This window comes from Homo sapiens, chromosome 22 (genome assembly GCF_000001405.40).
Source record: "Homo sapiens chromosome 22, GRCh38.p14 Primary Assembly".
Lineage (NCBI taxonomy): Eukaryota > Metazoa > Chordata > Mammalia > Primates > Hominidae > Homo > Homo sapiens.
In genome coordinates, this window is record NC_000022.11 from 47,461,299 (window position 1) to 47,487,111 (window position 25,813).

Genomic DNA, 25,813 nt, shown 5'->3' on the forward strand with positions numbered 1-25,813 from the left:
TGCCATCAATCAAGACCGTTTTATTTTTTCATGGAGTGGCTGTTAAACATTCACCAGCACACCCCTGGGCCCAAGAGAAGAAAGATGAATGGGAATCATGTAAAGGACAACAAGGGATGGGATGGGAGAGGAGTGCGACTTAGATGATGTGGCCCTTTGAATGTCATTCACGCCTTCTTCAAGCCTATCGGATGCCATGCAGTGCAGGGGAAGGGCGTGGGCTGCAGAGGTGGAGCTGGATTTGAATTCTCTCATCTCAAGGATGGGAGATCTGAGGCCCACACTGGGGCTGGACCTGCTCAAGATGAGAGAGTTGCAGACGGCAGAGGCAGGGCTCAAACTCAGCCGCTCTCACTCCTTGGTGGCCTCTTACTTCATCAAGGGGCCAGTCTCATCAGCTCACCCTGACCCTGAAGTCAAAGTCTAAACAGTGCAATTCACTGGCTGCAGTGGTGTGTCTGGGAGGCAGTCTTACAGGGTGTGTTCCCTTAGTTGCACCTCTGTTCTTGAGCTTTGTGTCTTTCTGCAAAACTAAACCAAACAATAAACACTTGAAGCCCCCAATGAGCTCATGTCGTTAAACCCTATTGGAAAACAGTTTTTTTTTTTTAAAAAAAAAAAAACAAAGAAGAAGAAGGTTGGGTACAGTGGCTCATGCCTATAATCCCAGCACTTTGGGAGGCCAAGGCTGGTAGATCACCTGAGGTCAGGAGTTCGAGAGCAGCCTGGCCAACATGGTGAAACCCCGTCTCTACTAAAAATACAACAATTAGCCGGGCGTGGTGGGCCATGCCTGTAATCCCAGCACTTTGGGAGGCTGAGGCGGGCGGATCACCTGAGGTCAGGAGTTTGAGACCAGCCTGGCCAACATGGCAAAAACCCGTCTCTACTAAAAATACAAAAATTAGCTGGGCGTGGTGGCACACGTCTGTAATCCCAGCTACTCAGGAGGTTGAGGCAGGAGAATCACTTGAACCTGGGAGGCAGAGGTGGCAGTGAGCTGAGATCACATCACTGTACTTCAGCCTGGGTAACAGAGACTCTGTCTCAAAAAATAAAAATAAAAAAATAAAAGAAGAAGAAGAAAAAAGCCTGCATTGATTTCCCCATACATTTGCACAAGCTGCAGAACTTGGTTCTTTTATCTTCATTTGGAAACAAGTTGAAACAGCCCTCCAAATTAAGAAAACAACTTTACAAATTCAAGTTTTATGTTCTCTTATTTTAGAAATATTCATGGCCTCAATATGTCTCTCCTAAGTACTTATATAAAAACATTTTTCTCTTCCATTTGCCAATTTATAATGATTTTTTTCATTCTACTTACAACAAAGCAATCATTTCAAATTAATTGTTTTCATTAAAATGTATTATTGTAATGTCCCAGGTACTGAATAGTGATTTTGTTTGACAGAACAAGCCTGAAAGAAAAATATTATACATTTTGCAAGTAGACAATTTCAACCCAATTCCTTCCTCTGGCACGAAGCACAGGGGATTTGCACACAGTAGGTTGAGAGAATAACTAGCAACAATAATTATCAGTGTCATGCATCAGGAGAGTACATTTATAGAGGACTTTCAGAAGTGCACAGCTATTTTGCATATGTTATTTCATTTAATTCCAAGCATTCTTCCACGTAGACCTATTTATCTCTCTTTTTTATTTTTATTGAGAAAACCAAGACCCAGAAATGCGAGGTCACTCACCAAAGGTCACACAGTCTCAAGAGGCAGAGCTGTCATTTGACCCTGGGTCTTTCCACCTCCAGATGCACCTGAGCATGGAGTGTGCAGGGGGAGGTGGGGTCTGGGTCCCAGAAGGAGCTGAGGATCTCCTCACTCTCCCTTCCCAACTTGTTTATTCTCCATTCAAAGCACAGTTATTTTCTTTGCAAGACCAACGAGGTTGATTCAAAATCAGAGTCATTTTAACGTCTTAAAAATATCAAGTAGAGCTTAGAAAATTCAAGCACTAGAGGGAAAAAAATTCTCAAGTTATTTAGAAAGAAAATTTACCTTGATTCTGAGGGTCCTTGAGCTTTCTGCTTTTTGCTCCTTTTTTGGGCCATGCTGAGTGGGGGCCGGGGCTGTGGTGGGAAATTGAGAGTTGCATGAGATCTCCAGATGCTTCTCAGCCCCTCAGTGCCGCGGAGAAAAGAGGAAAACACTCATCTGGACGATCCGTGTCTTGCAGACTCGGTCTCAAATCCTTTGGGGTGAGAATTCTGAGTCCTGGGGGGCATTTATGAGGGAAGCCACACAGAGTGTTCGCTAGTGGGATGAAGAAAGGAAACCAAACTGGGTTCTTTGGTGCAAAAATAAAATAAATTCTTATTTGTTGATATGGTTTGGCTCTGTGTCCCCACCCAAATCTCATGTTGAATTGTAATCCCTAATGCTGGGGGAGGGACTTGGTGGGAGGGGCTTGGATCATGGGGGTGGAGTTCCCCTTGCTGTTCTGGTGGTAGTGAGTGAGTTCTCATGAGATCCAATGGTTTAAAGGGATGTGGCACTTTCCTCCTCATGTGCTGTCTCTGTCCTGCCACCGTGTGAAGAAGGTTCTTGCTTCCCCCCTTGCCTTCCACCATGATTGTAACTTTCCTGAGGCCTCCCAATCATGCTTCCTGTTAAGCCTGCAGAACTGTGAGTCAATTAAACCTCTTTTCTTCATAAATCGCCCAGTCCCAGATAGTTCTTTATAGCAGTGTGAGAATGGACTAACACACTCGTTCATTATTGAATGCTGTGTTCTTGCTCTGGGTCCTTGTGTTCATTTTCCACCGTATTTCCCTCTCCAGGGTGCCCACGCCCCCTCCCCCATCCCATCCTATTACTGTGCTGAACGCTGTCATCTTCACTCTCATAGTCCCACCAGCAGGGCCAGGGCTCCTCCCTACCCAACCAGCACGCCATCAACACACTTCCTAACACGCTTCCCTCTGTGCCAGCCTGCTTACCTCTAGCTCTTTGCTTGTGACATTTTCTCCAACTAGAACACAGAGCAATAACAGGGAGAGGAAGAGCGTGGCTGATACAGCACGTTCCCTGGACCCAGTAGCCATGAGTTAACCCCCGCTGAGGCATTACTGGTCTCGCCTTGGGCATGGCAATCAGCTCTCTGATGTTCATTGGTAACACCCATAAGAAAACCACCTCACAGGCTCAGGATAACACACTGACATGAACCCTCTTAGCTGGCAACTGGTCCACGCTGATGGAACAAAGGTCATCATTTTGTACCTGACACTACTCCAGTAGTGCTGGGTGAGCCGCTCACCCTTCCCAAAGGATGTGGAATTGAGCCCAGGAACAGGTTCATGTCTCCCAGAGGCTGGACTTGTACCTATAGGATCAGGAGCCACAGGAGGCCACAGGGGAACAGAGGCAAAAAAACCTCAGTAGAAGGAGGAATAGAACCTGGTGTGCAGGAAGAGCAGGGAGATGGACGGAGACTCTGGTCACTTCTGATTCTGATCCCATCCCTTCCTGAGGTCCCATCCACATTCCTGCCCTCGCCATGTAGGATACTCCACAAACCCCATAACTGCCTCCTACTTTTCCTTTACTCTGACCCAAGGACCCATGTTTGTTTCTGTTATTAGTGAGCAGATGATTTCAATCAACATCACGAAGAGGGCAGCCAGTGGAGTGCCTGTCACATGATTGGGGCTCAGTGGCCACAGCCTCCTTCCACACCCCACTTCCAGCTTCCAGCAGCTGGAATCAGACCACTCAGCCAGCATGACCTCAGCCCTAAACGGAACTATCGCCCCTGAGCGAGATTCCCACGGGGCTCCAGAACCAATCTTGTGCACCTCTGTGCCCTAATAGCTTTTGAAGAAATGGCACTCTTGTAAGAGGTGGCTCCAAGGACCCTGCAAAAGTGTGCAGATTACCCAGAACCTGCAGCAGTGAGGGAAGGAGCAGAGGAGAGGCACAAATGGAGCCTGGGCACCAGCAGGGAGGCTCAGCTGCTTGCACCTTCATGAGTCACAGATCACCTGGCTGAGCGCTCTCCTCCCTCACCTGTTGCTGCCCGGAGTCATGTCTATCCCGCAGTCCTGCCTCCACTGCACCCTTGGCATGATCCGTACTGCAGGCTCCAGCCAGAGCTCGCCAGCTGCACCCAGAGCTGCCGGGATGAGATGACAGGCCGCCACAGGCCAGGGTCAGAGCTAGGGCCCTCAGCACCCCACCTCCCCTGGGCAATGCTGGCTGTTAGAGACACTGTTCACCCTTCAAAGCAATGGCCCATTGGCTGAGATGAGATCCACAGAATTTATGCTCGATTCCTGATGACATTATTTAAATTGCCTCTGATTTATCACTAACCCAGTATGCATTGTCATTTCTAAGTAATTACAGAAAATATTGTAATCTAAATACTATTACATCAGGAACACAACTCAGAATAAATACTGCCTCTGCCTTCAGTCAACTCAGTAATGTGAATCGATACCTACTGATTTTTTGAATGTGAACATGTTGAGAGGTCTTGAATTCCTATCACTGCGGCTGGGTCATAAATCCTCCTTAGTTAAAGAATGAGGAGCCCACAGGCAGCCTGGTCTCCCTCACATACTTCTGCAGGTGCAGACCTTCCTGCAGGTCCTGTGGGCTGGTGCCCCTCAGGGGTCAGCAGGGCACTCAGTGTCCCAACAGAATGAGTTCAGCCACAGCCCCTGCCTGAAATGTGCAAAGTCAGCTTTCTCCCAGACGGCCTTCATCAAATAATTTATGCAAATACATGCCATGACCAGTAGTGTGCTAGGTACAATGACTGATACCAGGACATAAGATGTGACCCTTGTGCCCAGAACATATTCTAAGGCCCATCTGAAGAGTCTAACTCAGGTGTCTGAATCATGAGATTTGGTTTCAGGTGTGGTTCCACTCTGCTCCTTACTGGCTGGTGGCCCTGGAGCAGACTTAACCTCTCTGAGCTGCAGGCGTACCCCTGGTAAAACAGGACCAACATACGTCCTATCTATTTCATATCACAACTGGTCAACAGAGTTGATGGATAAGAAACATTTGTGGATTGCAAAGTGCTATACAGAAGTGAGGAATAGTATTATTATAGAAGGCCGACGATTCCTGGAAAATACAGTAATCCATTTATGGTCAGAGGAGCAAGAAGAATTCTTCAGACAAATATGTACCATTACACTCACTTCCTTGTAAATGAAAACAGAACTCATTAAAACTAGTATAAACAACACATTATAGAATATAATCAATTTCCATAAAACAGATCATTAAAAGAAGGAGACAAAATGGGACAGAGTCTGGTACATTGTAAGTGCTCAAAGTTATTTGTTGAACAAATGAAAAAATAAGTGAGAAAAAAGACATAGAGAAGGAAGAATCTGTGGGACCCACTGAGAAGCTGACAGCCCAGGTAAAAGCAATGGGAGATGCTGTGAGGAAAGGAGAGCCATGTAGTACCTGGTGCAGCACTGGGAGCCCTGAGGGTCACTGGGGACAACGGCAAAGCTGTTCTAGAAGGAAGGACAAACAGAGAAGAAGAAAAATGGAGTGCAGAAAGAAAAGCCAAATACTCCCCTGTCCCACAACACAGGAGTGTTCCAGTGCTCCGAACGATAAATAACAAAATCAGTACTCAGAACATGAAATAACTCCAGACAAAATTAATTGCATGGGGACAATTTGTCTACAACAAAAATAATTATGTTTAGGGTGTTTAAAGAGATAACAGAGGTGAAGGAGGGAGAATGTCCTTTTAAAAGCACAAGAAACTATAGAAAAATAGAACAGGCACATAAGAAATAACAAAAAACATTTCTTTAAAATAAACAATTAGAAAACTAAGAAATTAAAAATACAGCCAAAGAAAATACGTGATAACAGGAACACATTTTAGGCAGAACAGGGTTAAAGAGAGAATTAGTGAATTGGAGACAATATTGAAGAACTCACCTGGAATACTGCATAGAGAGACAAACTGACTTCTGTAGATAAATATGGATGTGTGCATGCATGCACACATGTACACTGCACTTCATTGATTCCATTTTCTCATTTTAATATATCTGAAATTGGAGCACACCTTGCAACTGAAGGTGACTTACAACCACTCTTGGTCTAGACTGGAGACATCTTCCAAAGAGAATCTTCATTTGCCCCGCCAGTCACTTGGAAGTATTACTGACCTAAGGTCATTTAAAATTAAAATCTATAGTTAAGATTTACATTTGAACTGTAAATCTGAGTGTGTAAAGTTTGGAGGTTAAAACCTCAGGACAGATTGTCAGAGGTTTTTTTTTTTTTTCCTGCCTTTTGCTCACAGTGGGTTTATTTCTCATTTCTCATTTCTTCTTACAGCAAGCCTGCAGCCCTTTGGGGTCCTCACCTTATGTAGGGGTCTTCTACTAAACTCCTTGTCTGTGGCACCTTTATTTCTTAGTGGTGCATGAAAATAATGGTTCCTCCTTCTATTGATGGCTTCTTAGGCTGCTTGAGGTGTGTTTATCTCCACATCTACACACACATACTCACAAGCAGATGAGAGGTGGAGAATAGTCAAGGAGGTCCTATATCTCTGAAATAACAATTTCAGAAGAAGAAAATAGAGAAGCTCTATATGAAAAGCTAGTAATTTATTTTTTGCAGATTCAGAGAAAAACAGGTGTATTAGTCTGTTTTCATGCTGCTGATAAAGACATACTCAAGACTGGGAAATTTACAGAAGAAAGGGGTTTAGTGGACTCACAGTTCTACATGGCTGGGGAGGCCTCACAATCATGACAGAAGGTGAAAGGCACATCTGACATAGCAGCAGACAAGAAGAAAACTTGTGCAGGGAAACTCCCCTTTATAAAACCATCATATCTCATGAGACTTATTCACTATCATGAGAATAGCATGGGATAGACCTGCCCCCATGATTCAATTACCTTCCATTGGGTCCCTCCCACAACATGTGGGAACTGTGGGAGCTACAATTCAAAATGAGATTTGGGTGGGGACACAGCCAAACCATGTCAACAGGAGTCCTCAGTTCAAAATTGCAGTAGAGGTAAAGAACAGAATAAACAAACAAACCAAACAAATCTCACATGTAGGGACGGTAGTGAAGCTACACAATAGCAAGATAAAAAGAGAAAATGTTAAAAGCTACAAGACAGAAAAGACAGATTCCTATAAAGGATCATGAATTAGATGGGTAGTAGATTTATCCACAATGATAAAGATCAGAAGAAATGAAATAATGCCTTCAAACGACTGAGGAAAAATAATTATTAACCTATAATTTATACCAATATAAACAATTACTCAGGAAAAAAAGAAAATAAAAACTTGCAAGGGCTAAAATAACTTGCTTACCACCAAAGATGCTTGCTCTAAGAACTGTGAAGGGATTCAAGAGGAAAAGTACACCCAGAGAGGGCTCATACATGTAAGAGTAAGCTTAGATATTGATGATTTATAGATTGATGAATGTAATTAAATATTGACTTTTGAAATAATAATAGCAGTTTTGAAGTGTTTTTAAGCAAAACGGAATTGCAGATAACAGGAACAGAAAGGGTGATAGCAGGATGGTATAGTGGTTGGTAAATTCTGCTGCAGTCCAGGCCATGCTGTAGGAAAAGACAGAAATAGGAGCATCCCCTGAAGCAAGTCTTCTTCCGTGATGCTTCCCCAGGAGACCCCTTCTTGAGTTTAATACGCTAACTTCATGGAGCTTAATTAGTTCTCAATGCAATATGTCCAGCTATTTATGTGGAAAACATTTATATCTATGTCCCAAAGACTCAATTCAACATTTTAAACAAAACAATATAGAGGAAGTCTCAGGTTCTATTCCAAATAATATTGGCAGAATTGCACATGTAAACATTTTGAAAAGCTCATGAATCTTAGGGTGGGGAAGTGCATGTGGGATGTTGCTGGACCCAAGGGAGGCATTATTCCATGAGGCCACGCCAGTGCTGGGTTAAATATTAGCCCTGAATGTGCCTGGGATAGGTTGAGAAGCTTCAAATGGAGGAAGAAAAGAAACAGCCCGATGTCTCCTAAAACCTCATGTAAATGAATTTATGAAAGTAAACATCAAGACAAAGAGGAAGACTGCATCTTGCAAGTGTTTCACCCAAGAGTATTGAGTAGCTCCTCTGAAGATTTGTCAGACCCCCTCCTCAGAGCAGCCACCAAACCATGGTCAGCCGTTCCCAGGCCTTGTGAGTCTGACAAATGCCCAAAACAATTCTCTCTCACCCAGGTCCTCTCCCCCTCCTCCTCCACCACCAGGACACACAGAAACTGCCTCCTCTTTTCAGCCCTCTCCCTTCTCAGCTGACTTTGAGCTACAAATATCCCTTCTCTACTTGGAGAGCCCCATTTCATTACAGGAATTTGCTTTGAGTTTTATTATCATTTTAGTCTATGTCTTAGATTGGGCTGCTATAACAAGGTGCCATAGGCTGAGCGGCTTAAACAACAAACACTCATATCCCACAGTTACAGAGGCTGAGAAGCCTGGGGTCAAGGTACCAGCATGGTCTGATTCTGGTGAGGCCCCTTCCCGGTGGCAGACTATCAACATCCCTATGCACCCTCACATGGTGGAAAAGACAGCTGGCTCACTCTCTGGTCTCTTCTTACAAGGGCGTCCATCCACCTCATGACCTGTTACTTCTCAAAGACCCCACTTACCAAAACCATGGCACTGGGATTAGGGATTCACATATGAATTTTAGAGGGTCACAAAAATTCAGTCCATTGCAGTCTGTGTTTTCTAAAAAGTGTATCTGCTTTCATTTTTATTTGCCATGCTGTGTGGCAAAGATAATGTTTGCAGAACAGCTTGTAAACTGGATATATTGCTGCCTACAAAGCAATGGTTTGCTAACAACCACAATAAGTGTTGGTGATCTGGAACTGATACTTAAACATTTTATATCCTAATATGCTCTGTTTTTAGTTTTATCTAGGCATTTTTCTGTTTTGGAAACACTCTAGGAAATTGGTTGAGAGTTTTGGATTGATGTGGAATGCCTTACAAATATTTTGCTTTTCAAATATGGGGAAATAAACTCCTCGTTAGCACATTTACATAGAACCTCTGATTTTCAGAAGTTCATGGACAATGGATGTGAAGAAATAGACACCTATGTTGAAGCACTTGGATTTCATGAGAAAAATGTATATAGAGTTAAATATTTAACGTTTGAAAATGTAGAGAAAAACCACTACAACAGTATAATTACAACATATAAATTCCAAATCAATAAAGCAAAAAAGAAATTTAGGAAGTACAGTTAATGCAGCGCAAGGCAAGAAGAAAGAGAAGTGAAAAGGATGACACGCTAAAAACATGGGAAGCAGGACCGAAGTCTAAGCATGGATGTAATCACAATAAGTGCAAAAGGACTAGAATCATGGAATAAAAGTCAAAAAATATTTGTCGCTACCTATTTGTGCTACTATAACAGGATATCACAGTCTGGTTAATACATAAAGAAGAAAAATTTGTTTTCTTACAGTTCTGGAGGCTGGGAAATCCAAGATGGAAGCACTGGTAGGTTTGGTGTCTGGGAGGGCTTCTCTCTGCTTCCAAGATGGTGCCTTGTCGCTGCATCTTCCAGAGGGAAGGAATGCTGTGTCCTTGCAGCACAGAAGGTGAATGCTGCATAAAGCCTCTATTTTTTTTCTTGGAGATGGAGTTTTGCTCTTGTCGCCCAGGCTAGAGTGCAGTGGCGCTCACTGCAACCTCTGTCTCCCAGGTTCAAGCAATTCTCCTGCCTCAGCCTCCTGAGTAGCTGGGATTACAGGCGCACACCACCACGCCTGGCTAATTTTTGTATTTTTAGTAGAGACGCGGTTTCACCATGTTGGTCAGGCTGGTCTTGAACTCCTGACCTCGTGATCCACCCGCCTCAGCTTCCCAAAGTGCTGGGATTATAGGCGTGAGCCACCGTGCCCGGCCTGAAGCCTTTTTTTTAAGGGCTTTAATCCTACTCATGGTGGGGAGGAGCCCTCATGGCCTCATCATCTCCTAAAGGCCCACCTCCTAATACTATTACATTGACAACAGTTGAATTTTGGAGGGGACACATTCAAACCATAGCATTCTGTTACTGTCCTCCCAAAATTCATGTTCTTATCACGTACAAAATACATTCATTTCATCTCAATAGCCCCAAAAAGTCTTAACTTGTTCCAGTATCAACTTTAAAGTCTTAGTCCAACCATATGGATCCATATCTAAACATATGGATACATATCTAAACATACAGATACGTGTCTAAACATATGGATACATATCTAAACATATGGATATATGTCTAAACATATGGATACATGTCTAAACATATGGATGAGACTCAAAGCATGATTTGTCCTGAGGCAAATTCTCCTCCAGCTGTGAATCTGTGAAATCAAACAAGTTATGAGCCTTCAAACACACTGTGGGACAGGCGCAGTGCAGACAATTCTATTACAAAATGGACACACAGGCAAGAAGACAGAGATAACAGGCCTTAAGTAAGTCTAACACCCAACAAGACAAATATTCAATCTTGACAGTCATCTTTGATTTCATGCCCCACCTTCTGGACACACGGGGGTGAGGTTTGGGCATCCAAGGCTCCTGACAGCCCCACCCCACAGCTTTGCTGGGAATTGCCCTTGTGGGGGCTCTCTTGGGTGACCCCAGCCCTGCAGCAGGTCTATGCCTGGACCCCACAGCTATCTGAGACTTTGAAACCACCTTTGCAAAATTATAACTGAGGAAATAATGACAGTGAAAGAAATCACACCTAACCTACCCCATCTTGCTTCCAACCTTTAAGCTGTCCTTGTTCATTCCTGGACATAGGCTGAACTAACTTTGGGAAGGAATTCGGTTCATGGTTTGACTCTGAAACAAAACTGATATAACCCTTTCCCAAAAAGACCCCCTTCTTGTCTGGGGACCAGTCTGCTGCCTTTGCAGGACTAACAAATTAGCTACAAGATTAGAAATTACAGTTTAGGGATCATGCAAGCCTCTGGCTCCAAGAGTCTGAACCTCCCCAAATTGCTCCTGGGCATAACATCACTATTGTAAAACCTAAGATCAGTGCTTTAGATATTTTGCAGACCTTGCACTGGATGGATCAGCTGACATCACCCAGACCAGTAATGTGGCCCAATCATTTCTACCATCACACCTGGGAACAGAAAACAGCAAGAAAAATTCACTTCAACCCCCTGTGATTCCATCTCCAACCTGACCAATCAGCACTCCCCACTTTCCAAGCTCCTACCTGCCAAATTATCTTTAAAAACTCTGATCCCCGAATGCCTGGGGAAACTGATTTGAGTAATAATAAAACTCCGGTCTCCTGCACAGCCGGATCTGCAACGATTACTCTTTCTCCATTGCAATTTCCCGTCTTCATAAATTGGCTTTGTCTAGGCAGCGGGCAAGGTGAACCCACCCGGCAGTTACAACATCTTTTGACATCTGGGTAGAGGCAGCCCCGGCTCCACAGCTCATGCACTGGGTGCCTACAGAATCAGCCCCACATGGATGCAACAGGGCTCACCAATTGCACCCTCTGGGGCAGGGTCCCACGCCTCACTTAGCCCTGGCTGAGCCACAGCTGGGGAGGCTGAGGAGCACTGTGCCAGAGTGTGTGGAGCAGAGACTTGAGACACCCTGGGCAGTGAGTCTGAAGGTCCCAAGGGTGCCCTGAGCGCCTCCCAGTTTCTTCCCCCAAGGCCCTGGCACTCTGGGCTTGTGATGGACATGGCAGCCTTGAAGAAGGTTTTATTGGATTTTTAAATGTTACTAATTCCTAACCACAAGAAACACATCTGAAAAGAAATCAAGCAGAAAAGTTGAAAATAAAGAGATGGAATATATATATGAAAACTACTACATATAGGAAGGGATGTAGCAAAGACACAGAGAGAATATAATTTAAGGCAAAAAGCTTCAATAGGATTTCAAAGCAAACCTTGCATACTAAAAAAAGGAAACCAAAAATAAACCAAAAGAAACCGAAAACCATGAACTTGCAGGAGAATTTTCCAAAGCCGTAATTATAATGAGAGTGTTTTTAAGTCTATAAGAAATTAATATATCAAACAAATAAAGATTAATAAGAATTTGGAATTTGTATGAAATGGCAAAGGAAAAGCCAGGCGTGGTGGCTTACGCCTGTAATGCCAGCACTTTGGGAGGCCAAGGTGGGCAGATCACTTGAGGTCAGGAGTTTGAGACCAGCCTGGCCAACATGGTGAAACCCCGTCTCTACTAAAAATACAAAAAAAAATTAGCCGGGTGTGGTGGTGCACACCTGTGGTCCTAGCTACTTGGGAGGCTGAGGTGGAAGATTCACTTGAACCTTGGAGGCAGAGGTTGCAGTGAGCCGAGATCACACCACTGCACTCTAGCCTGGGTGACAGAGCAAGACTCTGTCTCAAAAAATAAATAAATGAGTAAATAAAATAGATCTAGTCAATGAAACAGCAAAGGAACTAGAATAGCCAAATCAATTGTGGGGGAAGAAAGAACAAAGTAAAATCACACTGATGTCAAGACTTACTATAAAGCTACAATAATGAAGACAATGTGGTATCGGCAAAGGGATAGACATGTAAAATCAATGAAAGAAGAGAGAGTCCAGAAACCGACTCACAGAAATATGGTAAACTGATTTTTGACAACGGTGCAAAGCCAATTCAATGGAGAAAAAATAGTGTTTTCAGCAATTGGACATCCATAGGCCAGAGAACTGAGAGGAGCACAGAGGGAGACCTTGGCCGATACCTTGTACTTTTTGCAAAGAGTAACTAAAAATGGAACAGAGACTTAAATGTAAAATGTAAACTATAACATTCCTAAAAGAAATCAGAGGAGAAACTCCTGTGATCTTGCATTAGGCAAAGAATTTTTAGACAGAACACCAAGAGCACAATTCCTAACAAAAATAAATAAACAAGACTCCACAAAAATGAAAAACTTTTGCTCTGTGCAAGACACAGGAGGCGGAAAGACAAGCCATAGACTTGGAGAAAATACTGGCAATTCACACATCTCAAGAAAGACTTATATCTACAATATATAAAGCACTATCAGGACTCAGCAATAAGAAAACAATGCTCCAATTTAAAAATAAGCCAAAAAATTAAGCAGGCATTTTACTACACAAGATATATGGATGTGAAAGCATGTGGAAAGGTGCGCAACATTGTGGGTCATTGGGGAAAAGCAAATTAAAGCCACAATAAGATAATACCACACCCACTAAAATCACAAAAACTAAGAGTGAAACTGAAACTTAAACCAACAGAAAAAATAAAACCTGCAATAGCGAGTGCCACTTAGGATGCAGAGGAAGCAGCTGGATCTCCCACGCGTTGCTGTGGGAATGCAAACAGCATGGTCACAAGGGAAAGGAGTTGGCATTTTCTTATAAAGCCCCGACGTACACATACCAAAGGACCCAGAAATCCCATTCCCTTGGTATCAGAAGGAATTAACTTGCAGTCACACAAAAATGTGAACATGTGCCTTGATAGCACCTCCAAGCTGAGAACAACCCAAATGCTCTTCAACAGATGAACAGGTAAAGACACAACGGTCACTTCTCTGACCCCCTCAAGACTGTCAGGAACCTGCAGCAAGCTTCAGAAGCCACCTCACTTAAGTCAGCTAACCTCCATGCAATGGAATAGTCCCAGCCATAAAAAATGTTAGGCTCTTGAGTCACACAAATGTGACTCTCAAATCCATTATGCTAAGTACAAGATGCCTGATGCAAGAGGCTACAGAGAGTGCCATTCGATGTGTCTGACACCTGAAAAAACACAGCTGTTAGGATAGAGAACAGATCGTTCTGACCTGTGTAGGGAGGGAGATGATCACAAAAGACAGCATAAAGGAATCTGGGAGATGTTGCAACTCTTCTGTAAAGATATCTTTATTGTAATGTTTAAATGACTATCCATTTGGCAAGACTCATAGTTCTAGACAATAAGAGTAAATTGTACTGGATGAAAATTTTTAAAGACATTTTTTAAAGGAAGGAAGTCTATCCAGCTTAGACACCTAAAGTGGACAAGATAGTGGAAGAAAAGAAAATCGTGCTGTAATCTTGCATAAAAATATATACAGATATACAAAAAAAAAGATACCAGCAACTCGTATCCAGCATTGGAGATCATTACCCAGTAGGGTTTTACACAGGAATTCTAAAACAGTTCAACATCAGAAAAATCTATTATTGTGATACACAAAAGTAACAGAATATAAAGGAACACATATCTCCTAAATAGATACAAAATGGCATTGGATAAAACCCAATACCCATTCAGGATAAAAAATGCTTAGCAAAGAATAGAAAGTAACTTTTTTGATGTGATCAAGACTTTCAGAACCCTTCAGCAAACTCCAGAAGCCATTTCATTAACGTTGGCAACCAGGCGAGGAGGCTGCTGCTCACTGCTTCTATTCTATCTGTATTAGGTCTTTGACAAGCAGAAAAGGAAGAAAGAAAAATTAAGGAAATACAAATGTGGGGAAGGAAGGGCCAAAAGTCTTCATAACTTGGGAACCATATAATTTTTTTTTAAATACATAACACCTTTATGGAGACTTCCTGGAGAAATAATTTACGTAGTATACACAATTCCCTTTGGTAAAGTGAACAATTCAGTGGTTTCAGCGTATTCAGAGTTGTGTAGCCATCACCACAATCAATCTGAGAACATTTTCATCATTGCGAGAAGGAAGCCAGCTCCCATGTGCCGCCTCTCTGCATTCCTCCCTTCCACCTACCACTGGCAGCAACTCATCTACTTCCTGTCTCTACGGATTTGCCTATTCTGGACATTTTATTTAAATGAAATCATAGAACTCTTGGCCTTTTGTGTCTTACTTCTTCCACTTAGCATAATGTTTATAACATTTATCCACCTGCAGCATATAGCAATACTTCATCCCTTTGTATTAACAAATAAAATTCCATTGTGGGATTATAACACATTCTTTTTATGTGTGAGTTGTTTCTCCTTTTGTGGCTATTATGAATAATGATGTTATGAACATTTGTGTACAAGTTGTTTTCTGAACATGCATTTTTGTGGCTCCTGGGAATATACTTGGGAGTGCATTTCTGGGTCATGGAACAATTCCATGTTCATACTCTGAGAAAATGCATGACTGTTTACCAAAGAAGCCGCTCCATTTTATAATCCCACCAGCCATGTGCAAGGGTTAGAATCCTTCCACATTGTCTCCTGCTCCATTTTGCAATCCTTCCGGCAGTGTACACAGGTTCTAATCCTTCCACATTGCCTCCGACACTTGTAATTATTTTTTCTACTATAGCCATCCTAGTGGGTTTGAAGAGGTAACTCATTGTGATTTTGATTTGCATTTATCTGATGGCTGCAGATGCTGGGCAGCTTTCTGTGCACTGAATGACCATTTGTTTATCCTCTTGGGGAACAATGTCTGTTATTACAGAATCCTCGTCCATTTTTAACTGGGACATTGTCTGTTTATTACTGAGTTGCAAGAGTTCTTTATATATCCTGGATACAAGTCCCTTATTTGATATACGATTTACAAACATTGTCTTTCATTCTATGGATTGTCTTTTAGTTGTTTAATTTTTCTTAATTTTTTATTTGGAGACAGTCTTGCTCTGTCACCCAGGCTGGAGTGCAGTGGCGTGATCTTGGCTCACTGCAACCTCCGCCTCCTGGGTTCAAGCAATTCCCCTGCCTCAGCCCCCCGAGTAGCTGGGACTACAGGTGCACGCTCCCACGCCCGGCCAATTTTTTGTATTTTAGTAGAGACAGGTTTCACCGCATTGTCCAGGCTGGTCTCGAACTCCTGAGCTCAGGCAATCCACCAACCTCGGCCTCCCAAAGTGCTAGGATTATAGGCATGAGCCAGTTTAATTTTCTTTTAAATTTCCTTTTTTTTTTTCTTTTCTTTTTGGGACAGGGTCTCACTCTGTTGCCCAGGCTGGAGTGCAGTGGTGCAATCATTGCTCACTGCAGCCTTGAATTCTTGGACTCAAATGGCCTCCCACCTCAGTCTCCTGAGTAGCTAGGAATACAGGTCTGCACTACCATGCCTGGCTGATTTTTAAATTTTTTTGTAGAAACAGGATCTCACTATGTTGTCCAGGCTGATCTCAAACTCCTGGCCTCAAGTGATGCTCTTACCTCAGCCTCCCAAAGTGCTGGGAGTGAGCCACCACACCCAGCCTCAATTTTCTTGATGGTGTCCTTTGGAGCACACAAGTTTGTAATTTTGATGATGGCCAATTAACCTATTTTTATTTTGTTGCTTATGTTTTTGATGTAATATCTAAGAAATAATTGCCTAATTAAATATCATGAAGATGTATGCCTATTTCTCACTGAGTGTTATAGTTTTAGCTCTTATGTTTAAGAGCTAATTTTTGTATGTGCTACATTTTGAGTTAATTTTTGTATATGTTGTGAGGTAGGGGTCTAACTTCATTCTTTTGCATGTGGATACACAATTGTCTCAGCACCATTTGTTGAAAAAGACTATTCTTTCTCCCACTGAATTGTCTTGGCACCCTCTTCAGAAATCAATTAACCATAGATATATGGGGTTATTTCTGGACTCTCAATTCTAGTCTACTGATGCCTATCTATCCTTATGCCAGTACCACCCTGTCTGAATTATAGTAACTTTGTAGTAAGTTTTGAAATTGGAAGGTGTGAGTTATTCAACTTTGTCGTCCTCTTTGTTTTGAGACAGGATCTCACTCTGTTGTCCAGGCTGGAGTCCAGTGGTGTGTCCAGTGGTGTGTTCACAGCTCACCGCAGCCTCAATCTCCCAAGCTCAAGTAATCCTCCCACCTCAGCCTCACAGGTAGTTGGGACCACAGGTATGTGCCACCATGCCTGGCATTTTTTTTTTTTTTTTTTTAAGAGACAGGGTCTTCCTATGTTGCTGAGGCTGGAGTTGTTCTTTTATCAAGACTGTTTTGGCCACCCCAAGTCCCTTGATTTTACATATAGATTTCCGGATCAGCTTGTCTATAGCTGTAAAAAAGCCTGCTGGGATTATTATGGAGATTGTGTTGAAAATGCAGAACAATTTGGGGAGTGTAGCCATCTTAACAATATTAATGCTTTCTACCCATGAACATGGATGTCTTTCCAGTTATTTAGATCTTTAATTATTCAAAATGTTTTGTAATTTTCATAGTATGCTTTGTGCTTATTTTGTTAAAATTATTTCTGAGTATTTATTTTCCATGGTGTTTTTAATGGAATTATTTTTCATAGTTTCCTTTTTGGAATGTTATTGATTTTACCTCTTATAACCTTGGTGAACACACTTATTAGGTTAACAGTGTTTTGGTTAAACCTTATGGTTTTCTGTGTACAAGGTCAAGATATCTGCAAATTAGATAGTTTTAATTCTTTACTTACAATCTAGATGCCATTTATTTATTTATTTATTTATTTATTTATTTATTTAAATTACTAACTGCCCTGGAAACAACTTCCAGTACAATCTTGAATAGAGGCAGTGAGAGCAGACATCCTTGTCTTGTTTCTGAACTGAGGAGAAAAGCATTTTATCTTTCACCATTACGGTATTAGCAATGGATTTTTTCACAGATGCTTTTTAACGGGTTGAAGAATTGACCTTCTAATCCTACTTTGTTAAGGGTTTTTTTAATGCAAAGGTGTTGAATTTTTGTCAAATGCTTTTTATGTGTCAAGATGATCGTATGGGTTTTGCTTGCTATCTTTTATTCTGTTGACATCTTGTGTTACATTAATTGATTTTCTGAAATTCCTGGGAAAAAAATCCTACTTGGTCATGATCTCTATTCCTCTTTATCTATTGCTGAGTTTGGTTTCCTGATATTTTGTTAAGATTTCTGTGTCTGTATTTACAAGCTACATTAGTCTCGTTTTTTTTCTTTTTATGTCTTTCTCTGGTTTTGAAGTCAGGGTAATACTGGCCTAATAGAAGGCATTAGACTGTATTCCTTCCTCTTGCATTTTCTGAAAGAGTTTGTGATGCATTGGTATTACTTCTTTAAATTTTTTGGTAGAATTCACAGAGAAGTCATCTGTGCCTAGGCTTTTCTTTGTATTTTTTAATGCTAATTCTATTATTTTACTTTCTATAAGTATATTCATATTTTCTATTTCTTGTGAGTCAGTTTCAACAGTTTGTTTTTTTAGACATTCGTCCATTTCATCTAAGTCATCAAATTTGTTAGCACACACTTGTTCATGGTATTCCCCAATAATCCCCCTTTTTCCCATAAGGTCAACAGCAATGTTCTTTTATTCCTGATTTCAGAAACTTGAGCCTTCTCTATACTTTCTTGCTCACTAATTTTTGTTGATTTTGTTAATCTTCTTAAAAGAATCCATTTTATTTAATTGAATTTTTAAGTCCTTGGTTTGAAATGTGTCTTCTTTTTTAATATATGAGTATACAGCTATAAAGTTCCCTCTGAGCACTGCATTATCTGCATCACAGAAGTTTTGGTACATTTGTATCTTTATTTGTATCTACCACAGAGCTTTTCAAATTTAACTGTAATTTCTTCTTGACACATCAGTTACTTAGAAGTGTGTTATTTACAAATATGTAGATGTTAAATTTTCAAAATTTCTTGCTGTTATTGATTTCTAATTCCATTCTATTCCAATTGGAGATACTTTGTATAATTTCAGTTCCTTAACGTTTATGGAAGCTTGTTTTATGGCCTAGCATATGATCAGAGAATTTTCCAGATGCTCTTGAAAAGAATGTGTATTTCACTGCTGTTGGGTGGAGTGGTTTGTACATGTCTCTTAGATATCGTTGGTTCATAATTAAAACCTCCCCACAACAAATATTCCAGGCTCATATGGCTTCACTGGTGAATTCTACCAAACATTCTAAGAAGAATTAATGCCAATCCTTCATAAACTCTTTCAAAATATAGAAGAACAGGGACTACATCTCAACTTACCCTATGTGGCTAGTGCTATCCTGATACCAAAACGATACATTACAAGAAAAGAAAACTAAAAAACCAGTTAGCCTTATGACTATAAATGCAGAAATTCTCAACACAATGCTAGCAAATTAATCCAGCACCATGTGAAAAAAAACATATATACGGACAACAAGATCAAGTAAGATTATCCCAGGAATGCAAGGTTGATTTAATATCTGAAAATCAATCACTGTTAACACACCATATTAAAAAAAGATAAACAGAGTCACAATATTATCTCAATAGATACACACACACACAAAAAGCATTTGCTCTCATCAATTCTATTTCACATGGTAGAAGAAATACTACATACCTAATTAGGCCAGAAAAAGAAATAAAAGTCATCCAAATCGGAAAAGAAAGAGTAAAACTATATATATATATATGAACAGATGACACAATTTGAATGAAGAAAACTCTAAGGAATCCACCATAAAACTATTAAAACTAATAAACCAGCTCAGCAAGATTGCAGGATGCAAGATCAATACATAAAATTAAGTGCATTTCTATACATTTGTAATGAATAATCCAAAAATAAAATTAAGAAAGCAATCTATTTTCAATAGTAGCAAAAAGAATAAAATAGGAACAAATTTAACCAAAGTGTAAGACTTCCACACTGAAAACTATAAAACATCAATGACATAAGTTAAAGCAAACCTAAATAACTGGAAAGACATCGTGATTGAGACAATATTGTTAAGATAGTCATACTCTTCAAATTGATCTAATGGCTCAACACAATCCCCATAAAAATCCTAGCTAGCATTTTTGCAGAAATTTAAAAGCTGAACTTAAAATTCATATGTAAATTCAAGGAACCCATAATAGCCAAAATAATCTTGAAAAAGCAACAAAGTTGGAGGTCTCACACTTTCCAATTTTAAAAATTAACTGCAAAGCACAGTAATCAAGACAGTGTGATACTGACATAAACATGAATGTGTAGGTCAAAGGAATAGAATTGAAAGTCCAGACATAAGCACTCAGATTTGTGGTCAATTGATTACCGAAAACAATCCCAAGAAAAATCAATGGGGAAAATAAGATTTTCAACAAATGGTACTGAGAGACTTGACATCTACATGCAAAAGAATGTTAGACTCCTACTGCACACCAAAATCAACTGAAAATGTATCAAAGACCTAGGTGTAAAAGCTAAAACCATAAAACTCTTAGAAGAAAGCATAGAATTAAATCGTTGTGATCTTGGTTATTTAATAGTTTTTTAAATATTACATCAAGATCACAAGTAACAAAAGGAAAAGTTAGATACATTTTATCAAATTTTAAAACTTTTTACTTCAAACAATACCATTAAGAAAGTGAAAAGACAACCTATCAGATATTTGCTAACCATGTATCTAATAAGGGACTTGTTCTAAAATACATAGAAAACACTTAGAACTTAATAAAAACATAACTCAATTTTTAAAACGATAAAGGGATTTCAATCAACAGTTCTCTCAAGAATACACAGAAATGGCCCATTAGTAGAATAACAGATGCTCAACGTTACTATATTGGGAAAACAGTCTGGTGGTTCTTCAAACGGTTAAACATACAACCCAGCAATATTACATCTAGGTACACACGCAAGAAAAATGAAAACATATCTTCCCACAAAACTTGCACAAAAACTTGTACATATGGCCCAGCAATATCACATCTAGATATATACACAAGAGAAATGAAAACATATATTCCCACAAAAACTTGTACAAAATTTTTAACAGCATTATTTACAATAGTCAAAAAAAGCCTGGAGGCCGGCGCAGTGGCTCACGCCTGTAATCCCAGCACTTTGGAAGGCTGAGGCAGGTGGAGCACAAGGTCAGAAGATCCAGACCATCCCGGCTAACACGGTGAAACCCCGTCTGTACTAAAAATTAAAAAAAAAAAAAAAAAATAGCGCAGCATGGCCAGGTGCGGTGGCTCACGCCTGTAATCCCAGCACTTTGGGAGGCTGAGGCAGGCGGATCAAGAGGTCAGGAGATCGAGATCATCCTGGCTAACATGGTGAAACCCTGTCTCTACTAAAAACACAAAAAATTAGCTGGGCGTGGTGGCAGGCACCTGTAGTCCCAGCTACTCGGGAGGCTGAGGCAGGAGAATGGCATGAACCTGGGAGGCGGAGCTTGCGGTGAGCCGAGATCGCGCCACTGCACTCCAGCCTGGGAGACAGAGCGAGACTCCGTCTCAAATAATAATTAAAAAAAAAAATTTGGAAGCAATCCAAATGTCCAAATGGGGATAAATTTTGGCATGCAATGAAATACTACTTGGCAATAAAAAGGAAGGATGTACTGATGCATGCTACAATGTTGATGAACCTTGAAAACATTATGCTAAATGCAAGAGGCAAGTCACACGAGACCATATATTGTATGAGTCCATTTACATGAAATTTCCAGAATAGGTAAATCTACAGACACAGAGAGTACATTAGTGATTGCTGGGGATGAGGGGAAGTTAGGGAGAATGGGAATTGACTACAAATGGATATGAATTCCTTTCAGTAGGGACTAAAATGTTAAAAAAAAAAAAAAAGCACAGATTATTGTATGATTGTACAAAGCTAAATACACTAAAAAGTATTGAATTTTACACATTAAATGAGTAAATTCTATCATGTGTGAATGATATCGGCTATGAATGGGGTATTTATGTTTCCCTAAAATCCATATATAGAAGCCTAAATCCCCAATGTGGTATTTGGAAATGGGACCTTTGGGAGGTAATTAGGTCATAGGTGTGGAGGCTTCATGAATGGGATTGGTGCCCTTATAAGGAGACAAAGAGACAGAAGTTCCCTCTCTTCAATCTTATGAAGATACAAGAAGACGGCTGTCTGCAAACCAAGAAAGGGGCTGTCACCATACACTGAATCTGCCAGCACCTTGACCTTGGCCTCCTGGCCTCCAGAAACTTTGAGCAATCAATGTTTGTTATTAAGCCACTCAGTCTATGGCATTTTGTTATAGCAGCCAAAAACTAAGACAATATCTTTCATGAACATGTTTCAAAAGAGAGATAGCAAGATTTGGGATAATTATAGTAAAATAACATAATACTATTGCTGTAGGAAAAAAAAATGGGTTCTTGTCACACAACCAGGAAAGATTAGGCTGATGGACACATGGAAGGATAAGGAGTAGGATTTATTGGGCAAAAAGGAAAAAATTCTCAGCAAATCGAGAGGAGTTTCTGTTAACAGGCCTCCATTTCACAGACTGAATCCCAGGTTACCACACACGAACAGAAAAGGCCAGGCTCCTGCCCACTGCAAGTGGCACCAAATTCCTGAGGTCCCACCCCGTCCTCCCAGTGTGCAGGTCCGCATTATTCTGACAGAATCAGTCAGGGCCGGGCACGGTGGCTCACGCCTGTAATCCCAGCACTTTTGGAGGCTGAGGTGGGCGAATCACTTGAGGTCAGGAGTTCAAGACCAGCCTGGCCAACATAGTGAAACGCTGTCCCTACCAAAAATACAAAAATTAGCCAGGCATTGTGGCACACACCTGTAATCCTAGCTACTCAGGAGGGTGAGGCAGGAGAATTGCTTGAACCCAGGAGGTGGAGGTTGCAGTAAGCCAAGATTGCACTACTGCACTCCAGCCTGGGCAACAGACAGGAAAAAAAAAAAAAAAAAAGGATCAGTCAGGAAAGGGTGGGCTTCATCCAGGACTGGCTGTCTGGTTTTTTAAACTTCAGGCTATTTTAGGTTTGAAGGCAGGGTTTCGCAGGGGACCCTTGGCTACCTCCTGTCTCTATCACTAATAGTAGATAATATTTATCAAAGGGTTGCTAAGTCTCACCAGCAGTGCAAGATTAGAGATAACCAGGTCTACGCACATGTGTGTCCTTCCACAAAGTCAGTCAATATTGCAAACCATAGATAATAGTATACTTAATACATAAATGTTATAGATTAAACATTCCACAAACAGACAAAAAGTAACATTCAACATCAAGAGAATAGAGATAGGAGAAAGGTTTAACAAACCAGTCCAGGGAGAGCAACGAAGCCAAAAAGAATCTCCTGGTCTGGGCCAGGCAGTCCTTTGGTCCTGCAAGGAAGAGTCTTTGATGTGGCAGAGCCTTTGGTAGCCAATGCTGGGTTCTCATCATGAGTGACAGCAAGACTGAGTCTGTTAAGACCGCAGTTTTGAGCTGTTTATGACCATAGAGTCCTCTGGTGAGGACTGACAGTGGAGGAGCGTGCTTGTTTATGTCCTTATCTGGCTGGATGCAGTCTTTTTTTTTTTTTTTTTTTTTTATTAAGCAAATCATCTTGTCCTTGCTGGCAAAGTGTCCTATGAAATATAAAATAGAGTCCTTTTCTAAGATGGAGTTAGTTATGTCAAGACTGCTCTGTGCAATAAGACAGAGGCATTGCTCTATGTGCTCTAAACATTCTGCTTTGTTCTCCTTTCATAACAACCTTATGAAGTAGCTACTATTATTTCTGTTTTATACAGAAGAACACTGAATCTAAGTGTAGTACTGAAGTTGCTTGAAGTATTACAGCTAACAGGTGGAGGAGCTGGGGTATAAATCCAGACTGCCTGGCTTCAGAGCCTGTTCCATTAACATACAAAATTCAAGTCCACTCCTGTATTCTAGTAACAACAACTGAGAAACTATAATGGAAGGAATAAGAGATGATGAATACACTTAAGATAATAGCAAAAAACTCTAAGGTACCTAGGAATGTATCTATCTAACAGCATATGTGCACAACACATATGGAGAGCATATATGGGACTTCCTGTTTCAGCCCCAATATGGAAACAGCACGGAAGTCACCCCCTCTCATCGTCACATCAGGGAAAACACTGAACAGACTGAACCTCAATGACTTTACCTAGATCCATCAGCTAATTGAGATCACAGAGCAAACCAGCCTCTCTGAAGTTTGTAGAGAAAGGTGAAGACAGAGAATCATAGCCACGATTAGTTTACCTGAGACTAAAACCACTGGTGCCTGTAACTGGTAGAGCCACTTTAACACTAATTTTGACAAATTGCCAGAGGCTGAGTGTGGACTAGCCTGAGAGTTAAAACCTCTTGGGGCCCAGTCTTAGGGGGACTGCAACAGGCTCATGTATTTCACCTGCTGAAACCCCAGCAGGTTCTTGCCATAAAGATCAGAGAAAAGTGTTTTAGAAAGGGGAGGGGAAAAGAACCATTTTGAAAGATGACCAGAAAATTCTCCTTAACAAAGCCGTGACTTCCAACAGTTTCCCCTTGTCTGACCTGGAGGAAGAGCGACTGGCCTGCTCAAGCCCCCTGTAGCTTTCCTGTCTCATGTAAGGAGAGACAAAAAGCCGCCAAAATTTCCTTTGCCTTAAAGATCAGAGAAAAGTGTTTTAGAAAGGGGAAAGCTTTAAAGTGGCCCTGCTGTTACAGGCGCCAGCGGTTTTAGTCTCAGGTAAACCAGTCTTGGTCATGATTCTCTGTCTTCACCTTTCGGCCGGGCGTGGTGGCTCATGCCTGTAATCCCAGGACTTTAGGAGACCGAGATGGGCAGATCACAAGGTCAAGAGATAGAGACCATCCTGGCCAAGACAGTGAAACCCCGTCTCTACTAAAAATACAGAACTTAGCTGGGCATGGTGGCATGAGCCTGTAGTCCCAGCTACTCATGAGGCTGAGGCAGGAGAATCGCTTGAACCAGGGAGTCGGAGATTGCACTGAGCCAAGATCGCACCACTGCACTCCAGCCTGGCGACAGAGTGGGACTCCATTCCAAAAAAAAAAAAAAAAATTACAGAATCTTCCCCTTACCACCACGTCAATAGGGTTCCAGGATAGTAACAGTGGATTACAACCCAGACAGCTGTAAGACACAGGTTCTTATATAAGAAGTTCATAGGAAACCCCGAAGAAAATGGGGAAAAACACAAGAAAACTAAAGCCCCTGGGATATACAACGACAGCAATCATTACACGCAGTCTAACTCCTGGCCAGATTAATATAAAACCTCACACCAAAAGCCTAATTGCCTCCGTTTTTATTACCTGATGCATCATGTCTGGCTTCTAACAAAAAATTAAAAGGCAAGAGAAAAACACAGAACAAGGCTCAGATATAACAAAGATTTGAAAATTATCCAAAAAGGAACTTAAAATATCTGTGAGTCATTGTTATGGGCTCTAATGAAAAAAGTAAATGACATGTAAATGTAAGCAGAGAGATGAAAACTTTAAAAGAATCAAAAGGAAATGCTAGATATCAAATGCCTCAAGACTCATCTGCGATTCCATCCTCAGCCTTGTCACCCCTCGGTCCCCACCCCACCATGGTGCTTGCTGTGTGTTTTCTTGACCTTGCTGTTCACCTAACCCCCTGGAAGGTGCTGTCCCAACCTCACCTGTGTCCCCTTTCTGGGCTGCTTACCTAGACCACTTGGCCTGGGCTGGCTGTGCCCAGGGGGAGGCTGGGAACATCGGCCGGCTACGCCCTGAGGTAGCTCAGATGCCAGTGTCCCACGGTGAGGACACCTCCGAGGCCGGCTCCGTGTCATCTGCTGGATGGGGCTGAACCCCAGTTGTCCTTCATGGGAATCTTCTCCTGAACCTTGCTGTGTGGGCTGCTTTCTCTTCCTTCCACCAGAGCTTCCTGGATGAAGCCCAGCATAAATGTCTTGTGCTTATCCCCATTCTGGAGGCTTCCAAGCAAGCGTAAACTCTGAAAGGGCAGGGGCCGTGAGTGCTGACTGCTTCTCTGGTCACCGTCTCACGGCCTGCCACAGACCTGTGCAGGATAAGGTGGCTACATG

The 25,813-nt window shown here is 41.4% G+C and overlaps 1 long non-coding RNA gene across 1 annotated transcript; it reads right to left on the reverse strand.

Moving 5' to 3' along the window:
* Positions 1-25,813, reverse strand: LINC01644 (long intergenic non-protein coding RNA 1644). The gene is made up of 3 exons (NR_109967.1): positions 25,432-25,813; positions 2,020-2,090; positions 1-531 (listed from the first exon to the last, which is right to left on the reverse strand). It is a non-coding gene; the product is annotated as a long intergenic non-protein coding RNA 1644 (long non-coding RNA).